Here is a 25,496-nt window from a genome sequence, read left to right as displayed (position 1 = left end):
ATGGCCCTGTGAAATTCAAAAGAATAGCATTGGAGAAACCTGGTGGAGAACAGAATAAATGTATTTAAAATTATCTGAATATGTTCTAAAATGATATTCAGTACTTCTTAATATTTTAATTTTGCATGTTTGCAAAGAGGCATATGCAGCTCTTTCTATATGAAAAGAAAGAGACTTGCTGGTGGGGGACAAGGGATCTTAACTCTTAACAGCCTAAATCTATCAAAAGATTACTCTTTAAAGTAACTGCACTCCTTTCAAGTGGCTTTTAAAATTAAGGTAAATGTACTTTGAAAGGGACACTCACTTGATCTAAGTTTAAGTAATATATATGAAATTACTTTTTAAAGGTTTAAGTTCCATATATAAAATTGCTATTAATTCTGCAGAAATAAAATTGGATAGTCAGAAAGAGGGATGATGAACGTTAAGTAGCTGGGCTATAAGATCACTTTATAAAATATAATTGCCAAAGCACAAAAACATAAGAAACTGAGTGGCCCAGATAACATTAAAAAGAAAAGGTCAAAAAGGAGACATCAAAGGAAAAGTAAAAAGACAGAAACAACACAAGTGAGAAATGCACAGAGGCCAAAAAATTCATTGTGAATGACAAAGGCAAGAATGATAAAGACCTACAAAAAGGTAAAGAAAAAAAGCAAATAGAGGAAAATTCGTGACTTGTCTAGTTTTTTTTTTTTTTTTGGTCCAATGTTAAACACATCCTACTGAAAAGCCTAAATGCTGGGTATTTAAGAACCCTTATGATTTTCTTGCAATATATCCAGCACCAATTATACCTAAAAGAGTTAAAAAATGCTTTATAGGTAGAAAAATTAAGATATCTATGATGACTCAGTCTAAAACACTGAACAGCAGGCTGCCAATATAAATAGCTCTAAGAGCATAACATAATTTAATACTTAAGAGGTATACAATTGTAGTAGAAGTTGTGAAATGGCTGATAAATTGCCCTATTTATAGACTCCAGTGTTTGTTAAAGATGAGAAATTGTATCCTGATAATCGCCTGCCTCTTATCCTTGGCTTTTCAACTCATCTGCTCCATCCTGACTATGAATATTTAAACTGCTTCTTCACTCAGCTCTGGTCAGGGCACTGTAAATCTAAGTACCTGCTATCATATAAAGCCTAACTATAGAAACAAAAATTAATGGTGTTGTCTGAATCACAGTAATTGGGAATTAGCACTTTAGCTTAACTTCTTAAGATGAAAGATAAATTATAAGAATGAAACATTAGTTACCATAGCAAATACACAAGCACTGTCCTCATTCAAATCACGACCCAGGTCTGAGTGTCTATGAAAGCCCCACTGGATTATATTAGGCTACATCTCGACAAATAACATTTGTTGCTCAGGATGATTTATAGCAATTGTCATCATCTTTTGTATTCTTCACAGAAATGTTGAAAAATTACACAGATTTATCTTATCCATCAACGTACTACTTCCAAAAATGTGAGGAATCAGTGCAAATGTGGTTTACCTTAATCTCTAATGAACTGTCAAGGACACTGAGATTAACAAGGCTGATTCCTCAGACTGGGAAGAATTGATTATTGCCATTTTGTTGAGTTTTTTGGCATAACCATAAAGCTGTCTTGAGTAGAAGAACAATAATACATTTTTCTCAATTAAAAGTTTCCCAACCAAAAATGGATTTTATTTTGGCCAAAACAAATTTTGCTACTTGTGTGCGTGTTTATGTGTATTGCTCAAAATACAATTCTCTAGGCCTTTAATTGACAGTTGTATTTAATTGATTCATCATATTAAAAAATGCTGTACTTTTTAAAAAGAGAAATTTTCTTATTCACATCCAAGCCGAGATGTTCTATGATTTTGCTGAAATGTATTTTGAGCTTCCTGTTTTCTTTTTACGTGAAAAGCAGTGAAATGCATTATGAATTTCATATATATGTGTATTTTAAGGAATACTGATATAATTAAATTTGACAAAGGATACTCACTTAAATAGTTAAGAATCTAGTCCTATTTTATGAAGTAACAGAAAATTATTGAAAACAAAACAAAATAACCTAGCTTCTGGCAAAAAGGAGGATGGCATAATTGAATGAAAAAGTTACAAATTAGGCAAAAAGGGGCATTTTGCATTGTGAGATGGTATACCTGAGAAATAGATTTTAAAAGAGTTGACATGGTTTATTATTTTGTGAAAAATTGAAATATTTAAGGTGTATACATGCATATATACATGTAATTGGTTATGGTATTACATATGTCTGAAGAAAATGAGTAAACAGTACATGTTGAATGCCTGCTCTGTATATCTCAGGATGAAATAATATTTATATATGAAAATTAAATATAATATCCTATTAAATAGGATAAAATAAGGTTTATTTATATATGAAAATTAAATATAAGTCACTTTATTTTTTTCTATTTGATTTCATAATTATAAGTGGAATCTCAAGTCATTAGAAAGAAAAAAATGAAGGAACTCTAATAGTTAGAAGTAAAGAGATCCTGAAAAATAAGTATGGGTAGGTTTTTTTTTTTTTTGCTATGAATTTTAGGGAAATTTCCATATATTATTCTATTTCATTGAATGGATCACTCCCATGATTTTTTCCCTATACAGTTAAAAATAATATTATAATGGCTGATGATTATAATTTTATCTTAATTTTGTGAGCAACAAGAAGAAACTGCATCCTCAGTATTTTTATTCCTCCTTTTCTTAATGTAAATCTTAAGTAAAAATAAGGATGAAGTTTGTTAAAGTGAAAAATTTAATTTGCAATACCTCCCTGATATTCCATCAAACAAAGGAAAAAAATCAAAACTACTGATTATACATCAAGGCTTGAATATAAGGCAGAGACTGAAGGTGTGTGCATTAGTTTTCTAGAGCTGCCAAATAAATTACCATAAACTTGGTGGCTTGAAATCACAGAAATTTATTCTCTCGCTGGTCTGAGAGCAGAAGTTCAAAACCATGGTGGGTTTATCCTGAAGACTCTAAGGGAAAATATACCCATGCCTCTCTCCAGCTTCTAATGGCTCCAGCAATTCTTGGCGCTCCTCTGTCTTTACATGACTTACTCCCGGTATCTCTCTCTGACTACTTTTCCCCTATAGGGACACTCATCACCAGATTTAGAGATTTCGCTAAATCTAGGATGATCTCATACTGAGATCCGTAACTTTTTACATCTGCAACAATCCTACTTCTAAATAAAATCACATTTACATGTGGGGATTAGGATTTGAAGGCATCTTTTGGAGGCCACTATTCAACCCACAGATGTATGTGGGTGTGCTTTAATTTTGCTGTTACTGCCAAGAATTTCTGAACGATGAAAGTTCTAATTTTCCTACTTTTCAAATACTTTATATATATGTATATATATATATTCATTATATATACATAAAATGAAACAATATTGATGCTTCCATATTTTACCATATTTTTCACAATGTTAAATTGTTACCACAGTATCATTAGAAGACTAACATAAATTATTTTCATTTTTATTTTGAAATAGAGTGAATTATATGTATAGAATCAGTCTTAAGCCTTAATCACAAGGGGAAAAAGTAAACAAAAAGGAAATATTAGTGTTGTTGAAGGACTCCCCTTACTGATAATATGAATGCTTATATTACATTAGGAAAATGTGAAGGAAATCTCTTCTTTGTAGTGGTTGGCAATGATTGCAATGAGTTTTATACGCAATCTGTCAGTATAACATACTCACTGTGTCTTAGTACAAATATTTTGGAATCTGCAAATTTTTTTGGCTACTCAGCCAACAAAATTCCAGTTTAGCAAATAATAATGCTTATTATTATAAGTTTAATAAGCGTTGTTCTTAGTTGCCCATGTGAATCTATATTCACTGAGCACTTGTACTGTAATAAACAGTTGGGCTATTAAAATAGAGCTATTCTACAACTAATCAATAGGCATATATCTTTTGATAGAAGACACAGAAGTGTCTGAAAGCAGTATAATTTTAGGCAAACAATACTAGCACAATAAGAAAATTACTATTGGCAGTAATGGGGGAGATCCAATTATACTGCAAAGAAAAAAATTAAATCACATCACCTTCAAAAAAGCATACTTATGTAAAAATTAAGATACTTTGAAAAAATAACTATTGACTATGTGCCTCTATGCATGGCTAGTAATATAATTTTTTAAAAAAGTAAAATGTCATGAAAAAGACCAAAGTGTTAGGAAAAGGAATACAAGTGTATGATTATTTCTGCATTTTAAATTAGAATATAAAGTCGTTAATGCATTTAGATTAGAAACTAAATGTGACTATAAGAAAATGAATAGAAATATGCACTCACTGGAGTTATATTAGCTGTAGAAGCAATTAAAGTCCCTGCTATATAAAAACTAAATTAAAAATACAACCAGATTAGTTAGTCCCTCAAGTAGGTCATTAAGTCAAACATTTATCTCATGATGGACTGAACTGAGTTGGCATGTATTAAATTCTCTAAATAGCAAGGAATAGTGGTATTTTCAGTGTGATTTTAGAAAAGCTTAGTTGAAAAGAAGGATAAAAAGTTCTTGTCTATATTCAGGTATAACCACTATTTAAGTTAATTGTAATATATGAAGACCTGTAATTATACAAATAATAAACCAGGTAGCAATTCCTGTCTATGAAAAGGATTTTCATTTTGACAAAAGAATTCACAATAGGATAAATTCAGATAGCAAGTACACTCACTACATTTCATATATTATTTTTCTTCTATATAGCTTTTCCAAAACACTTGTTTGGTGACATATTCTGATGTTAGAATAGAGATCCTCTAAAGCTTTGATGAAGGAGCATAATCAACTTACTGGGATTTTTGCTCCTCTCAGCAAATAAAAACAAAACAAACTGATTAAATTAAAAATTAGCTTGCAAAATTTTTAGAGGATGTTCTTGTTTCAGTACGGATTCTGCCCAATCAGCTAAACTTTTTGAAAGTATCAAGAATCTAATCTTGAGAAAAGATGTTGTGAAGGAAGCTCATTTTTACACACTGTTGTTTCCACTTAACACCTCCTTTCCTTCTTAGTCTAAAGAATGTGCATCTCTCCTGTAGACCCCAGTTCAGTTGCCATTCTGCAGGGAAGTGAACTTTTTACTGACAGGTCAAATTGTCCTTCTCCTATAAACCTTCCATCTGGCTTCTCATCACAGTTAAAATACTACATTATTTGTATTACATCTGACGTCTGATTAGCATTGGTCTACCCCATTAGATTGTAAGGTAGGAGGCATGTTCTTTTGTTCATCATTGGATCCCTGGTGACTTTCAGCATGATGGCTGGAACATGGCAGAGGCTCAGTATGTTTTACATCTGAATCAAGTACTGTAAGAGTTTGAACTAATACTGGTTAAAACAAGTAAACTTATAACTATGGAAGAAATATGCAATAGCATCTTATTTTAGAAAAGTTAAAAGTCCAGTCGATCCCAGCACTTTGACAGACTAAGGCAGGAGGATTGCTTGAGACCAGGAGTTTAGGACCAGCAAGCCTGGGCAATATAGTGAGACCCTGTCTCAAAAAAAAAAAAAAATTAGCCAGGTGTGGTGGTGTGGGGCTGTAGGCCTAGATATATTGGGATGCTGAAGTGGGAGTGTTACTTGAGCCTAGGAGTTTGAGGGTGAAGTAACTTATGACAGTGCCACTGCACTTGGATAATAGAACGAGATCTCGTTTTTTTAAAAAAAGAAAGTCAAGTTGACTATTAACCAGACATGCCATTACCCATATGTAGACTGGTGAATCTGGTCCTACAATATTGCAACTGTCCACAATGAGGGATGGAGCATATTAAATATTTTATTTTTCAACCTTAAAGAACTATGAAGGAATAAATTGAAAATGAGGTGTCAATAGTAATGATGATTTTGATGATAACTGTGAATGCCAGAAGTGCCCATACCATTTTCTTCTTTAAAGACTCTTATGACCAATCTCTAAGTTTCTGTGCTAGGACTCTGCAGGCAAAAATTCACAATGAACTGAATAGCTATAACTACTGATATATAAAATTCCTATGGCAGAAAGGTGAAGGAAGGAAGATGATTATCCTTAAAGTTATTTTTCTAAGCATATGATGCAACAAAAAAAGTGCCCTGAAGTTTTATATTGAGTGAGTGTGAAATTTTGAACTTTTAGAGCTGATATAAGCACTGGAAATTTGGGGGCAATCTCCTTACTTCAGAAATACAGTTGAGATTTTGAGAAGTTAACTGACTTGTCTAAAGCCACAACCGTTTAATGACAAAGGACAAGCTAATTCCTAAGCCCAGCTCATTGGAAGGGCGGGCAGCCCTGTTCTTTTTGCTATTCCATACAAACTCCTTGCTGTATTCACTGGTCTACAAAATGTCTATGCTGGTTACAGCACTAGAGTGGCAGGTCTGACTTTAGCCTATGAAAATTTAGAGTGGAACAGTTTTATAATAAGAAAAAGAAAAATAGTGGTATAAAGAACTGAGGAAATAGGACCACACCAACTTGGAAACATAAACAGTAAGTTCGGATCTATGTTTTGGAGAAAGAAAACATGAGGTTTCTGGACGAGATATACACAGACCATAGTGAAAAGAGCCTTTTGTCCCTCCACCTTTATGTTCTCACATAAGAAAAGCAAACATTGATGAGAAGGATCAGACATAAAGGAACACAGTTATCTGGAGCTCTCTACACTATGAGATAAAGTGAGTTCTGGTGGACAAAGGGACATTTGCCATGAATAGCAACTGATTAAGAGCAAGGATGAAACAGTTATATTTGCCAGGAGGCCAAGACAGGCACTGTTCTTCAAAATAGGGGAAAAGGGGCAAATGTCCTCCTGCTCCTAATTGAGAATCTCTAAGGTAGCATTTTGTTTTACATTTTATGTCACAGGTCACATCCTTGTAAGACTCAAAACTTATAGAGGGTAGATTGAGCATTGAAGGCATTCAATAAGTGTTACTATCTCTACTGTCCCCACTTAAAATTCACACGACCCACTACCCAAAGATAGTGAAAACAAGTAGAGGGTAACTCTGAAGAACACTAGTGTTTTATAATTTTCTGCAAAGGTTAAGTATTATATAGGCATTCTTTTACATAACTCTCATGACCTGTGTGGTTAGTAATATGATTGCCATTTTGCAGATGAGGAAACTAAAAGACTTTTCCAAGGTTATTTAGGGAAACAACTTCAATTTGATCACAAGTGTCTCAACTCTGAAAACAGTAACCTTTCCCTACACCAGCGATTCCCAAAGTGTGGTACCTATATCAACAGCATCAACATTACCTGGGAACTTGTTAAAAATACAAAACCTTGGGCCTCATTCTACCTACTAAATCAGAAACTCAGAGGGTGGAGCCCAACAAACTGTTTTAATCCCATCTGATGTTTCAGGTGCATGTTCAGGTTCAAAAACCACTGGCTTCTGCCATATAGCACCATGCAACCCATGTACATAAAGCTGTTGCTTACTCACCGAAGTGAGTACTTGAGGTCTGTAGGACAATTTTTATTTATTTATTTTACCATATTTGAACTAATGTATCTTACTGATATATAGTAGTGTAATATACCACAGAACCACATACAACAGTGTTAGGGGGCAGGCAAGCTGGGTAAAGAAGTCCAGCTCTACCACCTATTATCATATAATCTTGGCAAGTTGCATAACCTTTGTAAATTTAGAATTTGGTTTTGGTAAAATAAAAAATAAAAATAGTGAGATAATACACAAAAAGCACTTAGCCAGCACCCATAATGTAGTAAATGCTCAATATAGTAAAGAAAATATAGCTTTATGATCATCATTAAAGACAATACTAGTAATGCTATAATTAATTGAATAAGTAGTGAAGCTCATGTATTATGTATGTTGCAAAGTAGAGATGTGCCTCTACTTAGAATTTTTATTATAGAATTGACTTTTTTTTTCGGTTTCAAAATGAATACTCAATTCATTTCAATTCAATAAACATTTACTATATAACAAGGTGCTGTGTTGTTTCAGGGTATTTTTTTAAGTATAGTGAAGATACCAGTCTTCAATTTATGTTAGGGAATGGACATTATTATCTATTTAGTAATGCTTTTGATTAAATGCTTTAAAACTTTACTTTGTATTGGCTTACAGCTTTAAATTGTGCCCTTTAACAGTATTTAAATACATTATTATGATACATATTTAACTTCTGGTCAAATTTATTACTTAGAGAAAACCCTATAATACCATATTTGATCTCTGTACAGTTAACTGTACAACATTGTGTTTTAACAAAGAGATTTTAAATAACAGTTCATCTGCAGTAATACTATGTACTATTTTTTTTCTACTCAGTGAGACTTAGGCCTATTATTTCTTGCTTATTTGCACCAACCAGTGAAAGAAACCAATTTCTATTCTCTTTATAATGCTTTTATGCATAGAAAAAGGCCATCATCTTTTCTGTGTCTTTTTTTTTTATTTTTTGAGATTTTCAAGTTTCACAAGCTCCTCTCACAGCTCATGTTTTCAAGATCTTTTTATCATTTGCATTGTATCTCCACCAAATGCTTGGCAATTTGTCTCCTTTTTGAAATGTGCTTTTTTGTTGAGCTTAGTCTCCAAATTGCAGCCTAACAAGACCTGAATGTAGCTCAATCCATTTTTATGCATGACATCACCATTGCAATTCAACACACTGTAGCATTTGAATATTTTAACAGGTATTAGAATGTCAACTCAATCAATTTATCATCCACTGTAACTCGTGAATTTTTCTTTCTGCTGCTACCATCTCTAGCTATTCATTGTACTTTTTGGTCCCATTATCCCTCCTTGCAGCACCTTTCACATTCATTCCAGTTTTGTGATTCTGATGTCACTGATTTTACCCATATCCCCAATGTATCAAGATTATGCTGCATAATAGTACAACACCCCCAAATTTGCAATCCCTGCTACTTCTATGACTCACTGTTTTGTAGACATATTAGAATAAATATTTATTTCCCAAGACATTTCATAAATATACTACTACATTACCTCTAGTATTCTTTTCTTAGATGACTTTTGTAAATCACTCTATTTAAGGCTTCAGTTAAACAAATAAAAAGCAAACAAACAAGGATTACTGGTCTATTGCTATAGGGCCATTTAAAAAAAAAAAGTTCTTTCCTTCTTGACTCAATTTGAGATTAAACTCAGCACCAACTACAGGATTGCATTATTGTTTAATTATCAAGCTGTCATCCAAAAAATACAGATTACACCTCTGATCTTCACACACACCTAGCAGCATAGTGGATATTATGTGTCCTCGCTGCAGGAGGTGACTTGTGTTTGCTGGGCACGTCATGTAGTGGGTTAAGCAAATCTTAGTAAACAGAGTTAATTTCACTTAACATGTTTACTTTCCCAGTTACAAAAGAAAGCAAAGCAGAGAATATAAAATAGAATTAATGAAGGAAATGACAAAAGAATCTTGTTTGGCCCAAATTTCATTATTTTACCACAGATAAGTGGCAGAGTTACCAAAACCAAAATGAGCTGATGAATTGTTCAAGTTTACAAGTCAAACGTGACCGCAATTATTAAATTAAACAGCAATGCATGTGGCTTTCTTCTGTCTGCAATTCCCATCTACCCACCTTACATATTCATAGATAGATACCTACCACTGCCTTCAGTCCTGCCCCTATCCACTTAAATCTTACTTATCCTTCATGAATCAGAATGAGATCCCTCCAAGATAGTAATGTTTCCTTTCTTTGTGTTCACACTCTATCTTGTACTTAGTTCTTACTTGAAAATAAAACTGTTTAAAAAACAGTTCCTCTATGAATGTTAAGATCCACTTCTTTGATTTCCAGCTACCAGATGGTACTGAGAATTATTCAAAAAGTATTCTTAAATAAATGAACTATTTTTAAAATAGCATTTTCCCCAACAGCTATATTTCTAAAATTTAGACAGTGATATTAGGCTTGAATGCTTTCTAGAGAAATTATGGTGATGCAATGGTGTGAGTCCAATTTTAATAACATGGTAGAAAAACATGTTTATGTGAGTAGACCCATTAAAGTGTTAAAACAATAATCAGCTCTGAAAAAGGGCACATGTTGATAGCAAGATAAAACAAAAACAAACAAAACACACAAAAACAAAAGGGAAGAGAGAAGACACTATACTTTCTCCATAATATGTTTCATCTTTTTTATATGTATATATGATATGGATTTTAATAAAATTTTGGCTGTATTTATGTTGGATAAATGTTTACTTCCATGGTCTGATTAAACGTGGTAGAATTGAAGGAGGTGGTAAAAATAGCAAAAAAGTTTGTATAACATTTTCAGGTCTAATGAAATAGTTCCCAGAAGACTTAGCAAAAAATCTTGAAAATTTTAAAAATGGGTACAGTTTGGTTCTAGAGAAGACAGATGAAATATTGGATCACTGTCTTCAAATATATGATAGATCAATTGGTAGATGATACTGATAAAATATTTTCCTTTTTAGCTTGTATAAGACCAGAAACAATTAATTTAGAGGGCAAGCAGGAAATGCTACAGGAAGGTGAGGTATTATGAGTTACTAAATAATGTAGTGAAAGATTCCTACAGAGACCTTTCGAACAGAATAGTTACTCTTTGATCTAGTCAGTTAGATATTAAATCTAAACCTAAACAGCTCTTAACAAGACAAATACCAATTCATTCCTAAGTAGGTTATACTGACTGCGGTTCTCTAAGTTTAACCAGTACAAGTGTCTTTCTTTGTTGCTCATGGGATCATCCCTCACATGCATATCAGGAACAACCCCGCTGTTGCACATAAAATGGCATCATCTGTACAAATCAAGCCCTAGCTTCTCTTCCTTCCTAGGAGGAAAGACTCTAGTTATGGGGGCCAAAAACTGGAGAGGAAGGGATATCAGTTGTCCAAAGTGTAAAAAGAAATGGTACATTAATACCCTTGAAAATATAAAGGTACCTTAAGAAGGCTTAAAATACTGTAGGCATAATACCAATAATCTTCGATTATTTTTATGTTTAGTATTCCTTTCATTAACAAGTGACATTTAGCACAGTATTTTTTTCCTTAAAAGTAATTTAATTAAACAATTTTAACCTCATATATTAAAATACTATATTGCAAAATTCTAAGATAAGATACAAGTTTAAGGTCATTGTCAAGGGTCACTGAAAAAGGAAAGATCTTTTTTTCATAACCTTTTATTTTTAGTTTTTAATATTAACATTTGTTATGCTACTTTGTTTATGACATATGCTGGTAATTGTTCTACGAATAAATACCACAACCTTTATAAAGAACCTGAAAGAGTCTGGATTGAATTTCATTATTTTGTTCTTATGAGATAGCAGAGCTTTCAAAACTTGAAATAAGGTGACAACTTAAATATATTTAAAAATAAAGACCTAAATTAATAAAGTTAGCATAAAGTCAATGAAACATTTCAAAGATACCTGTATTGTGACTTTCACACTATTGCCTTGGAAGCTGTGAACCTGACACAAAATGTTGCTGCATGCTTTTGTTTTTCCTTATCTTGTTTTTCTCCAGTTGGTAAATGAAATGCATCCACTGAGACTCTGAAAGCACTATTAAATAATATCAGAAATACAGGATTTGGCTCAGTTTACCTGTTCCTGTTGCTGGAAATCCAATCTGAAATAAGTGTTGATGCCTGTTGGTGACAGTGCTTGTTGCCAAAACTGCAGGCCAGCATTATAACTTCTCTACGTAGTTCTCTAGATATCATCAAAAGGGAAACAAATTAAAAAGAAAGTTAGGGAAATTCATTCCCTAAATAGTAGATAAGTAAATTATTAACATAAAAATGGTTTTTAGATCTGGAAATCCTATGCTGCTGAGTAAAAGTCACTTAGGCAGAGTGGAAGTTAAACATACTAAAAGTTTAACAGTACTCCAGTGAGAGGCATGGGTTCTGATCTCAATATCACCAATAAAGGTAGATCTTAAATTAAAACACAGCAAGGAAACGTCTTTGTTCTCAGGATCAGGCAATGGAAACTGTGCTACCCAGCAGCAGTCCTCTCGGGAAAGTGAAATGTAAGATGAAGAATGAAAGGAAGATTGTCTCATGCAGCTAAAGTCACAATGGCACTAGTAGTACATTATTATACAGCTCTAGGGGTAAAGAAGAGGATAAGAAAATAAAACAGTACTCATGTTGGTAGGATGCTTGAACAAGAGATCCATTAAAATTATTTTTCGGCCACCCAAGCTTGATATATGTTGTTGCAACTTGCTTTAAAATATATTCCTAAATGGGGTATAGAATAAATAAAGATAAGGTCAGTTTAAAACTTCTGTATGCTGACAATTAAAATTCTGTAATAAAATTAAAATATTCTTAAAATGTACCTACTTTCAAATATCCATAAAATTATAAGTACAGTAATGTTCTATTATAATTTTATTTAATTTAGTATTTCATATATAGAAAAGAGGGATAAAATGCTATTGGAATGGTACAAGTCTACTCTTCCTATTAAATCACTAAGTAATTTGCATGAGTAAATATTTTAGATGATGACTTTTGTAACAAAATGAGGAAAACAAAGAATATTGATAACACCTATGCGTACATATGTACAAATGTATATAGATATACTATATGAAAATGGACATCTAATATTTACGCATTTTATATCAACAAGGCATATTTAATGCAAAACTACTATGTTGGCCCAACCAATGGCCTAGTATTGATGAAGCTGAGATACACAGAACTCTTCAGTGTAATTATAATGATATTTCAAAGTCAACAATTCATTCAGCTAATGACACATTTAAGTGTCAGTATCAAGGTAAGGCATGCTCTCCCTCACTATTTTTTGTTTTTTTAGACAGGGTCTCCACTCTGTTGCTCAGGCTGGAGTACAGTGGCAACAACCACGGCTCACTGCATCCTCCGCCTCTCAGATTCAAGCCATCCTCCCACCTCAGCCTCATGAGCAGCTGGGAATACAGGCACAAGCCACTACACCCAGTTAATTTTTGTATTTCTTTTTTTTTTTTTTTTTTTTTTTGTAGAGATGGGTTTCACCATGTTGCCCAGGTTGGCTCTCCCTCACTTTAATGTGCTTCTTGAATTTTGCCAAGGAATACAAACAATGAAATTACAATAAAAATGATTCTTAACTGTTTACTGAAAACAAGGAATCTGACATGATACGCTATTCTAATGTACAAATATATTCAAAAATATATTTTACTTTTACAAAGGTTTAATATTGCAGTGTCTTTGTGTTAGGGAGAAATTAATGTGTAATCTTTCTCTAGCAAGTAAAAAATTGTATCATAACTGTAATGACCCATTTGTTTGCATGTCTGTTCTAAGGGCTTAGACAAAACTAACAATGAACGTAATTATTCCCATTTTTTAAAAAAAATCATTAAACAGTTTATTTTCTGTAGGTTTAAAGTAAAAATAAAAAGGAAGGAATTCTGATGGGCATCAGAAATCAGATGGCTCCAATAAAAAGATTCATGTCACAGGAATCCACTTTTCAGTAATCCCAAATGTGTATGTTAATTAGTACAGTATAAAAAATAAGATAATTTTATAAAACACAGGGCAGGCTCTTACGCTAACTAAAGGAAAACAAATAGTGTTCAAACATCATGGAAGGCACAGTGATAAGAAATTTAAGAATCAAAAGGCTCATGAGCAGTACTTAATCCTAATATTATTGAAAATGATTATTAAATCAGATTAGGTGGCATGAGCAGTGTAATTTTGGTTTACTAGGTTTTGAGTTCAGAAAATCTGGTCAGGTAACATTTTGGAATGTTTGTCATGTCTTCTTGTCTCTTTGGATTGTCTGTTGTTTGCTTTCCTGTATCCCCTTGGACCCAATTACGAATGGGCTTTTGCCTCAATGTTGATCTTATCCTTGTTAATTAAGGCAGTGAATTGAATTCAGTATGCCCTTTTGGATAAAAATAATGACTAAGAATCATTACTGAAAATGCCTATATTCTGTTAAGATCTTTGGGATCTTTCTACCCAGGTTAAGTCCTTTGTGAACACAGAGCCCTCTAACTCTTGGAAAGTAAGTTTGAACTTTAAAAATTTGCCATGTATATTTCTTCTTAAATTCTGAAGCATTTAAGCTTAATTGACACTTTTAGGTCAGCATTTTGTATTAAATTTCTTCTTCAAATAATTGTCATCTGTGTTGCATAGACAATCAGGACAAAAATCGGGATAACACAAACTAGAAGAACAAACTAAAATAACTTGGCATCAGTTGCATATATAATAGTAGAAAGAGAATAAAATAGTGTATCTTCTAAAAATTAGAAAGAAAAATTATATCTTTTTACATTGAAAATGTTGTAGTTTTCCATGCGGTCCAGTAATTTATCTAGAGGATAAAGAGCTCGGCTGGCAGCATGCCAAGGAAGAAAATCCTTCTCCTCAGACAGGTATCTGATAATCTCCAGAGGAATATTCTGAGGCAAATAGCCAGCCCTACAGTTAAAAAAAAAAAAAGATACATGATGATGCACAAACGAAGATTTTTACTTACGCAAATAAAAGACGGAAAAGCAAAATTCATCATAGTATAAAGAAAGCATATTCAGTGTTATAAGAATAAAATTACTCACTTTTAAAATATAGTCATACTTAGGATGCCAGTGCCACCTTAATATATGCAGAGTTGGACAGTTAAAAATTTACGAATACAAAAACATCAGAACGCATATTTTTTTAAAAGTAAGGAATTATGGAACATAAGCAAAACCGAGCCTAGGTATGTTCCTTCACAGAAACTCTTCAGAGGTTAACAAGCAATTGAAAATAATTGATCACTGAAATGTAATTTCAGTTTCTCCATGTATTGTCTTTACTTGTCATTTAGCTCAGGGTAATGATATTTAATACACATTGTTCTTTAAAAGATCAACAAATTAAAGTGTCAATTTGTAGTTCTGAGTGTTTGTTAGATTACAATATTAGCATGTTTTTCAAACCTTTTTTTAAAGTTGCTTTCCATAACACCGATAAAAATCTGAGTTAGGTTTTAATAAAGTCCAAATTACAAAAATGTTAAAAGAATAACTCTTTTTTTCTATTATTTTCCTTTCAAAATAAAATGTGTCACCTTGAGAACCAATATCAGTTTCCTTAGAAAATACTAAATTGTACCTTTTAAAAATTATCTTAACACATATTGTCTATAGTTTAAGAGGCCATATCAAGAAAAGGAGCCAAAAAGAACTATATATCTCTTTTTTCCAATAGACTGTATATAATATTCTTGCAAAATCAAAGCAATATAAATGACAGTCCACAATACATTAAAAGATGGTCTTAGCCTTGATGTCTTTGCGGCATATAGTGACACTATGTATTTTGGTGGAATTTTTCAGCATTGATATTTGCTATGGTTTGAATGTTGATATCTCACTAAAATTTATGTGTTGGAACCTAATATCCATTGTGACTCTATTCAGAGGTAGGGCCTTTGGTAGTGATTAGGTCATGAGGGCTCTACTTTCACAAATGGGATTAGTGCCCTTATTAAAGAGGTTCCAGTGCATCTTCTTGACTCTGCTTTTCACTGCATGTGCAGCAAGAAGGCACAATCTTTGAAGCAGACCAAGCTCTCATCTGCTGGAACTTGATCTTGGACTCCCCGGCCTCCAGAAACATGAACGAAAATTTCTATTGTTCCCAAATTACCCAGTGTAAGGTATTTTGTTATAACAGCCCAAACAGACTACGACAAATCAACTGAATGCAGACTGTTAACATAGGGAAGAGGGAACCACGAAAGCTACAAAGCCTGGTTGTCCTGCTTATCTATATTTCACACTGTTCTTTTGTAACATAACAAAATTAGATGGACCTTTGTATTTGTGCATGGTGGAAAGTGGACAGGGAGGAAACGGAGACTTTTTCATCTTCGTTAAAATAATTTTTCCATTTAGTCTTAATTCAATGTCATATGCAAACATTACCCTACAGATGAATATTAGTTTATACCTGTGCTTATAATGTCCATAATAAAAACCAATTCTGAAGAGGGTGCTGCAGTTTTCTTTTAATTAAAACAAAAGAATGTGTGACACTCTAACGATTTTGATTCAACCATAGTACAAGATCAACCACAGGTTCATATTTCACATAAATAGTGAGCAAACTTCAGATTTCACATAATTTAAAAATCTGAAAATTTATGATTTAGAGTGTATCTAGATTTGTGCCACTTTTCCTGTGCAAATTCCATTTTATACATTTTTGTAGAAATAGCATGAAATTTAGGCTATGGCAACAATAATTAAATAAGCCACTGTATTTTAGCTAGTACAACATCCCAATAATAAGTGAAATTTTGATTTCATAGGTTTGTTGCTCCCTGAAAAAGTAATACAATTTTTTATTAAAATAATGTTTTAGATTATGTCCTTAAAAGAAATATGGATTTCAGTAGTTCAGATTTTGTAATTTGTCTCTCTGGAACTTTTAATTCTAAATATTAATTAGTGTGGTGATTATATATTCACCTTCTCTTTATACATGCCACAAATTGTATAATGTTGAAGATTTATTTAGAAGACATTATTATTTTGTTAAATAAGAAAAGTAATGTATTTTTAAAAAAACTTTTAGTAAGTAAGTGGCTAACTTATTACAAAACTTCAAATAACTTTGGAAAGTTGCTTGAATCTCGTTTCCCATAAATTTGGACATGATAGCTTTATGTCAATTATAATTTATTGTGTTTTATTTCATCTCTAAAATTGGATAGACATTATTTAATGACTCATACTTTGTAGGGAATTTGCCTGCAAATAAAAACGATGACAAATAATGTTACGGAAAGAAACTAGCCTGGATCGACTACTACCACACTCGTCCAATTAGGCAAATAATTTATCTCTCCAGCCCTCACATTCTGTGTCTATAAAATAAAAGGATGGAACTAAGAGACAGACACCCATTATAGTCCAGAAAAGCTTTTAATCTAACCTATATATCTACAATTTAATCTACTGAAAAATAATTGTAATAATTTATTACAATTTATTTAAAAATTTGAAAAATACTTTGTAATTTTATATTCTCCATTCTTTAGTCGCTTAATATGTACAAGTCTAGGAGGCAGGACATGGATCTAGGTTTTATAAGACTTCTGGCATTGTGTGAAAAAAATAAAAGCAAAGCAAACCTGATAAAAGTTCTAAATAATGGCAAGGCAAGTAATTAAAAGCATTCATTAAACAGAGAAATGGAGCAAGTTCTGTTTTGAGTCCTTTTGGCAGAAATCGCTAACTGCTCACCAAAATCCATGCTCTTCTCTTCTTCTTTGAATGAACTATACTTCCCAGTTCTCCTGGTACTTAGGTGTGGTCATGAGACTGAGATCTAGCCAATAGAATATGAATGTGCCTCTCTGCCTGGGTTATCCTTAGACATCTCCCATTAGCTATTTTATGTTCGTTTTCCTTAAGTGAAACTTCCAGGTGACCTTGGCAGTCTTGTATTGAATATATCGAAAACCTGCCTGGGTCCCTGGATGACTGCATGACCATGTCAATTCTCACACACACTCATGTTATGTGAGCAGAAATAATTTCCATTGTATCTTATCCAAATGTGTTTTGGGGTCAATATTTTTTAACAGCAGTTAAGCTTCTTTAATGCAGACCTCGAATAGAGTAAGAAACAGATTATACTCAAATTGCCCTCCTTCTGCTGTGATACCAACATATGTAATTACCAACCACATAATTTAATATACTTGCATTTAAGCCTACGACATCACAATATGTAGGTACACTTAATTGGACAAGAGGATGATCAGTTTCATTACAAAATTAAGAATTGTAGGAGACAATGTTGGTGTATCGGTTACCTAGCTCAGATGTGTGTTTGTGTAATTGGCTGGTAATGATATCTGTGATTACTACTACTGATAATGCAATCAATATAGGAAAGTATGTGGAATCCAGTGAATGAAACACTACATTAGCTCACTGTAATCAGCCCAGTAGGAAGCGCACTTAGGGTTCTGAAGCTGAAATGCAGTTTCCCTAAATTTGCATCACCACAGGGAAATATTGCTAACAAAAATTAAAAATAGCAAATTTAAAGAACAACATATTGTATGTGTTTAATATATAATTGTGTCCTATCAATATTTTAGGAAGAGGTTGTAGGTTATACCTTTCTTCCCTACTATTGGAGTGAGGATGAGCATAAGAGATGATTTGGGAATCAAAGAAAAAACAATGAGAAAGAGGCAAATGAGGAATGTTACAAAAATAAATAAAAGATTGTCCATATGCAGCTAGACAGCTGCTCCTCCCATCCCTTGCTGCATGCACACATATATCCTTCCCTCCCTTCCCTCCTCCTTCTCCAATTTATAAGAGCTTGAAATAAAATATATCTTTAGGTGCACAAGATATAATGTATTTTATAAGAAGGAAATTAAAACCAGACTATGTTAGCTGATGTTGAAATGCTCTGACCTTAACTGGCTTTGTTTCCACCTAAGATCCCAAATTGCTTTTTAAAAACCATTCTGAATTCCTGTGAATGTTAACTCTTGAATCTTACTGAGATGGGTAGCGTGTATAGAAAAATAACCTATTTAACTGTGAGTTTTCTTTAAAGGCAATTGATTTCTGGGGTTGAAACTTTTAGAGAAATAAAAATAAAACACAATTCTCAGATTCTTTGGAGCATCATACTCTACTCTTTATTAACTGAATATTCATTTAAAGCCAAAAAATAGTCTCCTACATATTTAATAATATATGCTGAAGATACTGTCACTGTCCCTTAGGGCACAGATTTTTAAAGCACTTGCTGAAATGCTTAATTAAAAAGTTTATTAGGTTTTATCTGTTATTCTTCATTATTAAAAGACTTTATATGCTCTTTGTGGGAAAATCTTTTACGGTACAGATTGGAAATCCCAATAGTCCTTGATGTACCATAGAATAAAAGGGAAAAAACACAGGGAAGTCTCTCTGTCAACCAACAGCTAATTTGATCAGTTTCTAGAGAAAAAAAAAATATATATATATATATATACATATGTATATATAATCCAGCCATTGCTTAATTGTCTGAAGAGATGTAAAAGGAAGTTACTGATTTGTAGCCCCATAAAATTAGTGATATAGTATGAATTTTTTTCCCTGCCCAATTCTCATGTTGAATTGCAATTCCCAATGCTGGAGGTGGGGCCTGGTGGGAGGTGTTTGGATCATGAGGGCAGAACCCCCTTTGTGGATTGATGCTATCTTCCTGATGCTGAGTTCTCATGAGATCTGGTCATTTAAAAGTGTATGACACCTCCCCCTGACTCACTCTCTCTTGCTCCTACTTTTGCCGGGTGATATGTCTGCTCCTACTTCGCTTTCAACCATGAGTAAAAGTTTCCTGAGGCCTCCCCAGACTGACACCAGCACTATTGTTCCTTTACATCCTGCAAAATTGTGAGCCAATTAAACCTCTTTTCTTATAAATTACACAGTCTCACATATTTCTTTATGGCATTACAAGAATGGCCTAACACAATTAGTAATGTGAAAAGGTGCACAGAGAAAAGATCTCAGACAGCCCCTCCTCCTTCTGCTCCTTCTCTTCCAGAAAGCCTGATCCCAAACTTGACTTAGGCACCTATTTTCTGGGTTCAACTAACACTTTGAAAACACCTCTATTCGTAATAATTATCAAGACATTAGTCATGATTTTCTCATAGCATTATCTAACTCACTGGCCTTAACTCCTTCAGAAAATGAAATATGCTCCACCCATCTTTTTATCCCCACAGACTAATGCAGAACCTAGCACAAAATAGGCACTCAATAAATATTCCTTAAACCAAATTAAATTATGGCAATAATGTCATAGCTTTTGAAAACAGGAGCACTTGCCAAAGATACTATAAAACTTAAACATAACCATTTTTTTAAATTAAGCATTTTTTGAAGGTTAAAAAATAGCAGAATGAGAAAATTTTATTAGAGTGACATTTGTATTTTTGCTCATCTATTTTATTAATGATAACACATATAGAAGATAAGAAGGCCACTGCTATCTAGACAACAGCTTTAAATTAGCCAGTCTATACCAAAATAAAATAGCTTTACAGCCAGTGAGCATGTAGAGGCATTATACAAACAGCTCTACTTTATTTTTCTCTGATTAGCAAATTACTTTCCTAGAAGCAATAGTGTTATTTATGCTAGTCATTTAAATAGATTGATGGAAGGCTTAGAAATCCCTTTCTCCTAGTCAGAAAATTGGCAAGGGTAAACGACATGATTTCTAGAGTTCCTTCTTCAGTAAACATTTAAAAATTAAAAATAAGACATCCAGGAAACATTTATTTTGCAATTTATATAGTCTCACTACCACCATCATTGCATCCAGCATTTCTTCTCTACACATGCTAACTTCTGTATTTCCAAAGATAATTTCATAAGAAATCAACTATCATCTTAAAATAGAGTCCACTGGGTACTTAATAGTGTAGAGAAATAGGGTCAATGTCTGACCATTAATTGCGAGAATTAATAGATGTCAGTTATTTGGTCAAAAAGAGAAAAAAACCTTAGTTTTATGGCCCAAGTCAACTACTTTTTAGAAAACTATCAACTTAATAATTTCAAGCTATCATGTATTGAGGACTTAATGTATACCAGTTATGATGTTATGAAAAGACGGTCTAAATTTATTTCAGTCTACTATCCTTTAGAATACTTATACTAAGCATCAATATCAGTACTATTATGCCCATTATTTTGAGAGAAAGAAGCTAAAGTTTACAGAAAATAAGCCGCTTGCCAAGCTCACATGGCTAATGAGTAGCAGGGCTAGAATTCAAAGCCAGGACTGACAAGCAAGCTCCTGCTGGTTCTACCCCATGAGGCAACCTCTCAAAATACCTCTCTGAATTAGGGTTAAGTGCTTTCTTCCTTCCTTCCATTCACATCTGGCTTGCACGTGACTTTCATGGAATTTATCACATTAGACTTAATACACATATACATACATAATGTGATCCCAGATGCTATGAAGGGAAAGCAAGCAGGGTTAGGGAAAGAAGAATTAGAAGGGAGTGGTTTAAACAGGGTGGTTAGGGAAGGTGTCACCTGCATGAAGTAAGAGAACAGGTTGACAGATTCTAGAGGGAGAAGAATTCTGACTGAGGAAGCAACAAGTTTGGTGGGAGGAGAATACTGACTGAGGAAACAGCAAATTCAAAGGTTTTGAGATAGGAACAGACTGGGATGTTGAAGGAATAACAGAGGGCCTTTGTAGCTGCAGTGGAGTTAGCTGAGGAAAAAGGTTAGGGTATAAAGTTGTGGAGGTCAGTGGTAACCAGAGCATGAAAAGCCTGAAATAATAAGGGCTTCGGATTGTTTTTCTCTTTTGTCTATCAGAAAATGCATTTGTTATTAATAGTGAGTGAAGAAAAGATGTCAGTATTCACGATAGAGAAGATATTGTATAAGCTTAAGGTTGCCTTTATACTGATTTTTAAAATGCCTTATTTCACCTGTAATCATAAACATCATTCTATTAAGAGGTAAATTTTCTCTCCTTTTTATCTCTTACTGGCATGACCATCATAAGAAGTTAAAGTGAAAGAACTCTTACACAGTCAAAGGAGAAAACCAATATGCCACAACCTAGACAATTTCACACAGCACTCTTTTCCCAAGATCTAGATTTTTCCCTCTCTTCTTTACACTCCAATTATTAATAACTTACCCTCACCCTCACCCCTAGCTTTGTTAGAGTGAAGGTTCATGAAATGAAGGAGCTTGGTTAGAAGAGAAAGTTTTTATGGCCAGTAGAAGTTGAAAGTGCAAAAAGGTCAAGAGGGCTGTCTTTTCAAATCATTACTGATCAAAATGTGATATAATTTGTTCAGAATTCACCCTCTGGTGCTTCTCTTTAATGGTATTCTCTTTAAATGGGTTATTTTCTTGCTAGGAAAAAATAAAAAAAGTTCTACCTCTGGAATTAATGTTGAAGGAGATTTGCTTGTTCCAGAAGTTGATATTATGATCTCTTCTCAAGCATGTTCTGTTTGGCATAATGAACACAGCACACTTACACGCTGGCTAGTGCAAAGCCACTGAGGGTCTGGTGTGTGCTCTGGTGATAACACTGAAGAATTTTGGCCTGCAGATCAGCACAGACAGGACAAAACTCATGTCACTGAACTTTGCTGCCCTCTCTTTGGCAGCTTTCTGATATTGCTCAGTGGTGACTTTGTGGAATTCAGCTCCTCTCCTCCAGTCTAGCCAGCTGCTCCTTTTAAAATGCATCCTGCTGCTTTGCCACTAAGTCTTTCTCTTCCAGGTGCTCAGCCAGGTGTTTTGCCTTACAGCCTTCCTCCTCATTTGATAGCCTCTCTGAAGCAAAGCTCATTGGCAGTGGCCCTCTCTTGGTTGGTCCAGTTCTTTACCTTGCTTTAATCATTTCTGATTTTCAGAATCTTCTTTTGGGCATGCTCCAATGCCAGTTCCTCAGGTACTCTTCTTTTTAAATCTTCATGAAAAAACTGATGCACCATAAACAGCAGAATACTGCTGTGACATTAAATCAGATGATGGGAGTTGCTTTCTCCCATCAATTATATTTTCTGAAAGTCGGATGCCCTGCACCATGGTGATGTTCTCATTCTCATGTGCTTAGAAGGTGACTCTGTGGGGGCAGGCAATCCACCTGTGGTTCCTGCTTCTGCCCCTGCAGAGACCTAGCGCAGACCCAGGTGCACACACACACACACGCAGGCACCCGAACTGTTTGCTGCACAGTGGGAGCTCAGATTGTTTTTCTATATGTGATGGAAAGCCACCGCAAGTTTTTGAGCTGGGAAATGACACGATCTGATTTACGCTTTAAAAGGGTGACTCTGGCTGCTACGGAGAGCAAACTCAAATGTGCCACGTGGTCTTTCAAGATGAGAAGGATGTGAAATATGATTTCCCAGTTGATCTTCTCTCACTACACGGACTATGCTTACATGAGAAAAATATAAACCTAGTGAGTGAAATGAATGACATAAAAACAGAGAAGGTAAGTTTTAAAGACAGACTATGCATGATGTTTGTTTTAGAAAGTTTCTTATGAAGATATCAGAAAAAATTATTACAAAAGCTTATCCACACGTTTTTTATTGTTTAAATGTCAGAAGCAGCATTAGAAAACATAGGGAAGGTCACGGATAAATAATTTCAATAATGAATTCATTTTAAAAGAATATATACTTTATGTACAGGAAGGTGTATATTCCACTTTGGGTTAATTAGCAGAATTAGCCTAGAATTGAAATACAGACTACTGCCTGAAATGAATAAAAAATAAATAATCCACAGAGTTTATGATTTCCATGGAAAATACAACTCTTAAAGGTAGTATGGAATTCTGCTTATTGAGCAGTGAAGTTTTTTAGTGCTCTAAAGGGGCCACATGGGAGTACAAAGAATAAAAAATTCCAACAGGATTTTTCAGAGGTTGAGTCTACTGCCATCAGGACATCCAATCATTAACCTAAAGGTCCATAAATCAGTGAAGCTTCTAACTTCCTATATGGCTGATTTTTGGAGAAATATGTGAATAACAGGAAACTAGAAAAGAGTAAAAACATCACTCAAACCAAACAACTTAAAAAGAACTGACTATGTCTTCTCTAGTCTAATGTTTATGTCAAAAGTTTTGCCTTTTCTATATTATACACAGAAGTTTATATATTTAACTTATTGTGGAGGGAGGGAGGAGGTTGAAGTTTGAAAAACAACCTATTGGGTACTATGCTTATTACCAGCGTGACAAAATAATCTGTAAAACAAATCTCTATGACTTGCAATTTACCTATATGACAAACTTGCACATGTTCCCCCGAAACTAAAATAAAAGATAAAAAAATAAAGAAAGAAAAGAGCAGGAAATAAAATCAGTACTCAAAAAATTTTTTGCATGTTATTCAAATTCTTCATAATTACCTTCGGATTGGTTCTAATAATATTTTGTTGAGAAGATAAGTGTAGTTCACTATTGTTAAATATTGTGGTTATATACATGTTTTATATCATAAATAATAGGACTATGAACATCCTTGTACATAATGCTTTTACATGTTCGGAATGATTTTCTTTGGATAGAATACCCAAATTAGAATTATTAAGCTAAACATGTGTTTCTTGGAAAATCTCTGAGTACATGTTTTTAGTCTTTGTAAAGCAACAAACGATGCCAGACAAAGGAGCAGAGAGCCTTATGTAGATCAGACAGGCACTGTGATAGCCAACATTGCTTTAGGGTTCCTTGTATGTCAGTCCCTGTGCTAATGCTTTGCATACACTATGTGACTAAATCCTTTAAACAATCTTCTCAGGTTGGCAGTATTACCATCCCCATTCTACAGATCAAAATTGAGGCTCAAAAAAGTTTTCTAACCCCCCCAGGTTCATATTGCAAATAAGGGTAGAGCTGGAATTTGAACCCAGTCCTCCTACACCACACCCATGATATTCTTGCCACCATTCTAAAAAGAACTGGGGATAATTGTTTATTCTCTTTACCATGTTCTAGTAAAAGAAAATATGGGAGAAAATTATAGGGGATATGAAGTGAGAGTAATCCATGGCCTTATGAGAAAAGCATAACAATAAATGGGGATGGAGGGAGAAGTTTGGTTCATGGCTGACATTAAAATGGAGGTCTTAGTGAACTCATTGTAAATACTCCTTTTAGCCTTTGGCCATTTTTTGGCCACATTAGCCAAAGCCATGTTCTTAACCACTGATCCCATTCCCTGGATTCCTTTAGCATTTCATCCAATCTACATAAATCAGAGAACACTCTTAGCTCAGACTCTGGCCTACAGAGGCTGTTTCAGTTAGCAGTACTATACCTACCATCAACAGCGTGCATTACAATAACACTTTGCTTTCAGAAGTATTGTTGACACAGGTAAACAAATAGATTACCAGGATGTGGTCCCAAAAAGAAAAGGGGAGGTAATGATATAAAGTATCTTTAATTTACATGAGAAAAAATGCTTCAAACAAAGAAATACTTTCCATCTCAACGTTGTATAGGAAAGGCAAGAATTAAGGCTCTGGAAAGTGGTTTGGGGTTCTATACCTTGCCTGAGAAGGAAAGCGTGAAGGACTCAAATAATGGCATATGGCGCATGGGAGTAATTGCTTCCTCTACATAACTGTAGGGCTGAATTTTGGGCCTGAAATGAAACCCAGAGATAGCCCATCTCAATTAAATATCTCAAAAATAAATCTCAAAACCAAGTACAGCTCTAGTTCATACATGCAGGTATCAATACATATATGAGGCCTTTATAATTATCTAAATGTAGAGCTAAAGTTGAAATTTTAGACTGATGCAAAGTTTAATAATTAAGCAGGAAGACAATACAACACT

At 33.8% G+C, this 25,496-nt stretch overlaps 1 protein-coding gene and 1 pseudogene across 4 annotated transcripts in view; both read right to left on the bottom strand.

The window, feature by feature from the left end:
* TRHDE (thyrotropin releasing hormone degrading enzyme) overlaps nt 1–25,496 on the bottom strand; it is a 583,493-nt gene that overhangs the window by 37,322 nt on the left and 520,675 nt on the right. For all 4 annotated transcript variants that reach the window (XM_017019244.2, NM_013381.3, XM_017019243.3 and 1 more), the window contains 3 exons: nt 14,399–14,546; nt 12,232–12,329; nt 11,686–11,793 (listed from right to left, as the gene is read on the bottom strand). In XM_017019244.2, coding sequence (XP_016874733.1) covers nt 11,686–11,793; nt 12,232–12,329; nt 14,399–14,546 — 354 coding nt within the window. The remainder of the gene's footprint in view (nt 1–11,685; nt 11,794–12,231; nt 12,330–14,398; nt 14,547–25,496) is intronic.
* Nucleotides 21,990–22,830, bottom strand: CHCHD3P2 (coiled-coil-helix-coiled-coil-helix domain containing 3 pseudogene 2; annotated as a pseudogene).

The sequence above is a fragment of the Homo sapiens genome, chromosome 12, assembly GCF_000001405.40.
Source record: "Homo sapiens chromosome 12, GRCh38.p14 Primary Assembly".
Lineage (NCBI taxonomy): Eukaryota > Metazoa > Chordata > Mammalia > Primates > Hominidae > Homo > Homo sapiens.
This window is presented reverse-complemented; position numbering and strand designations above follow the sequence as displayed.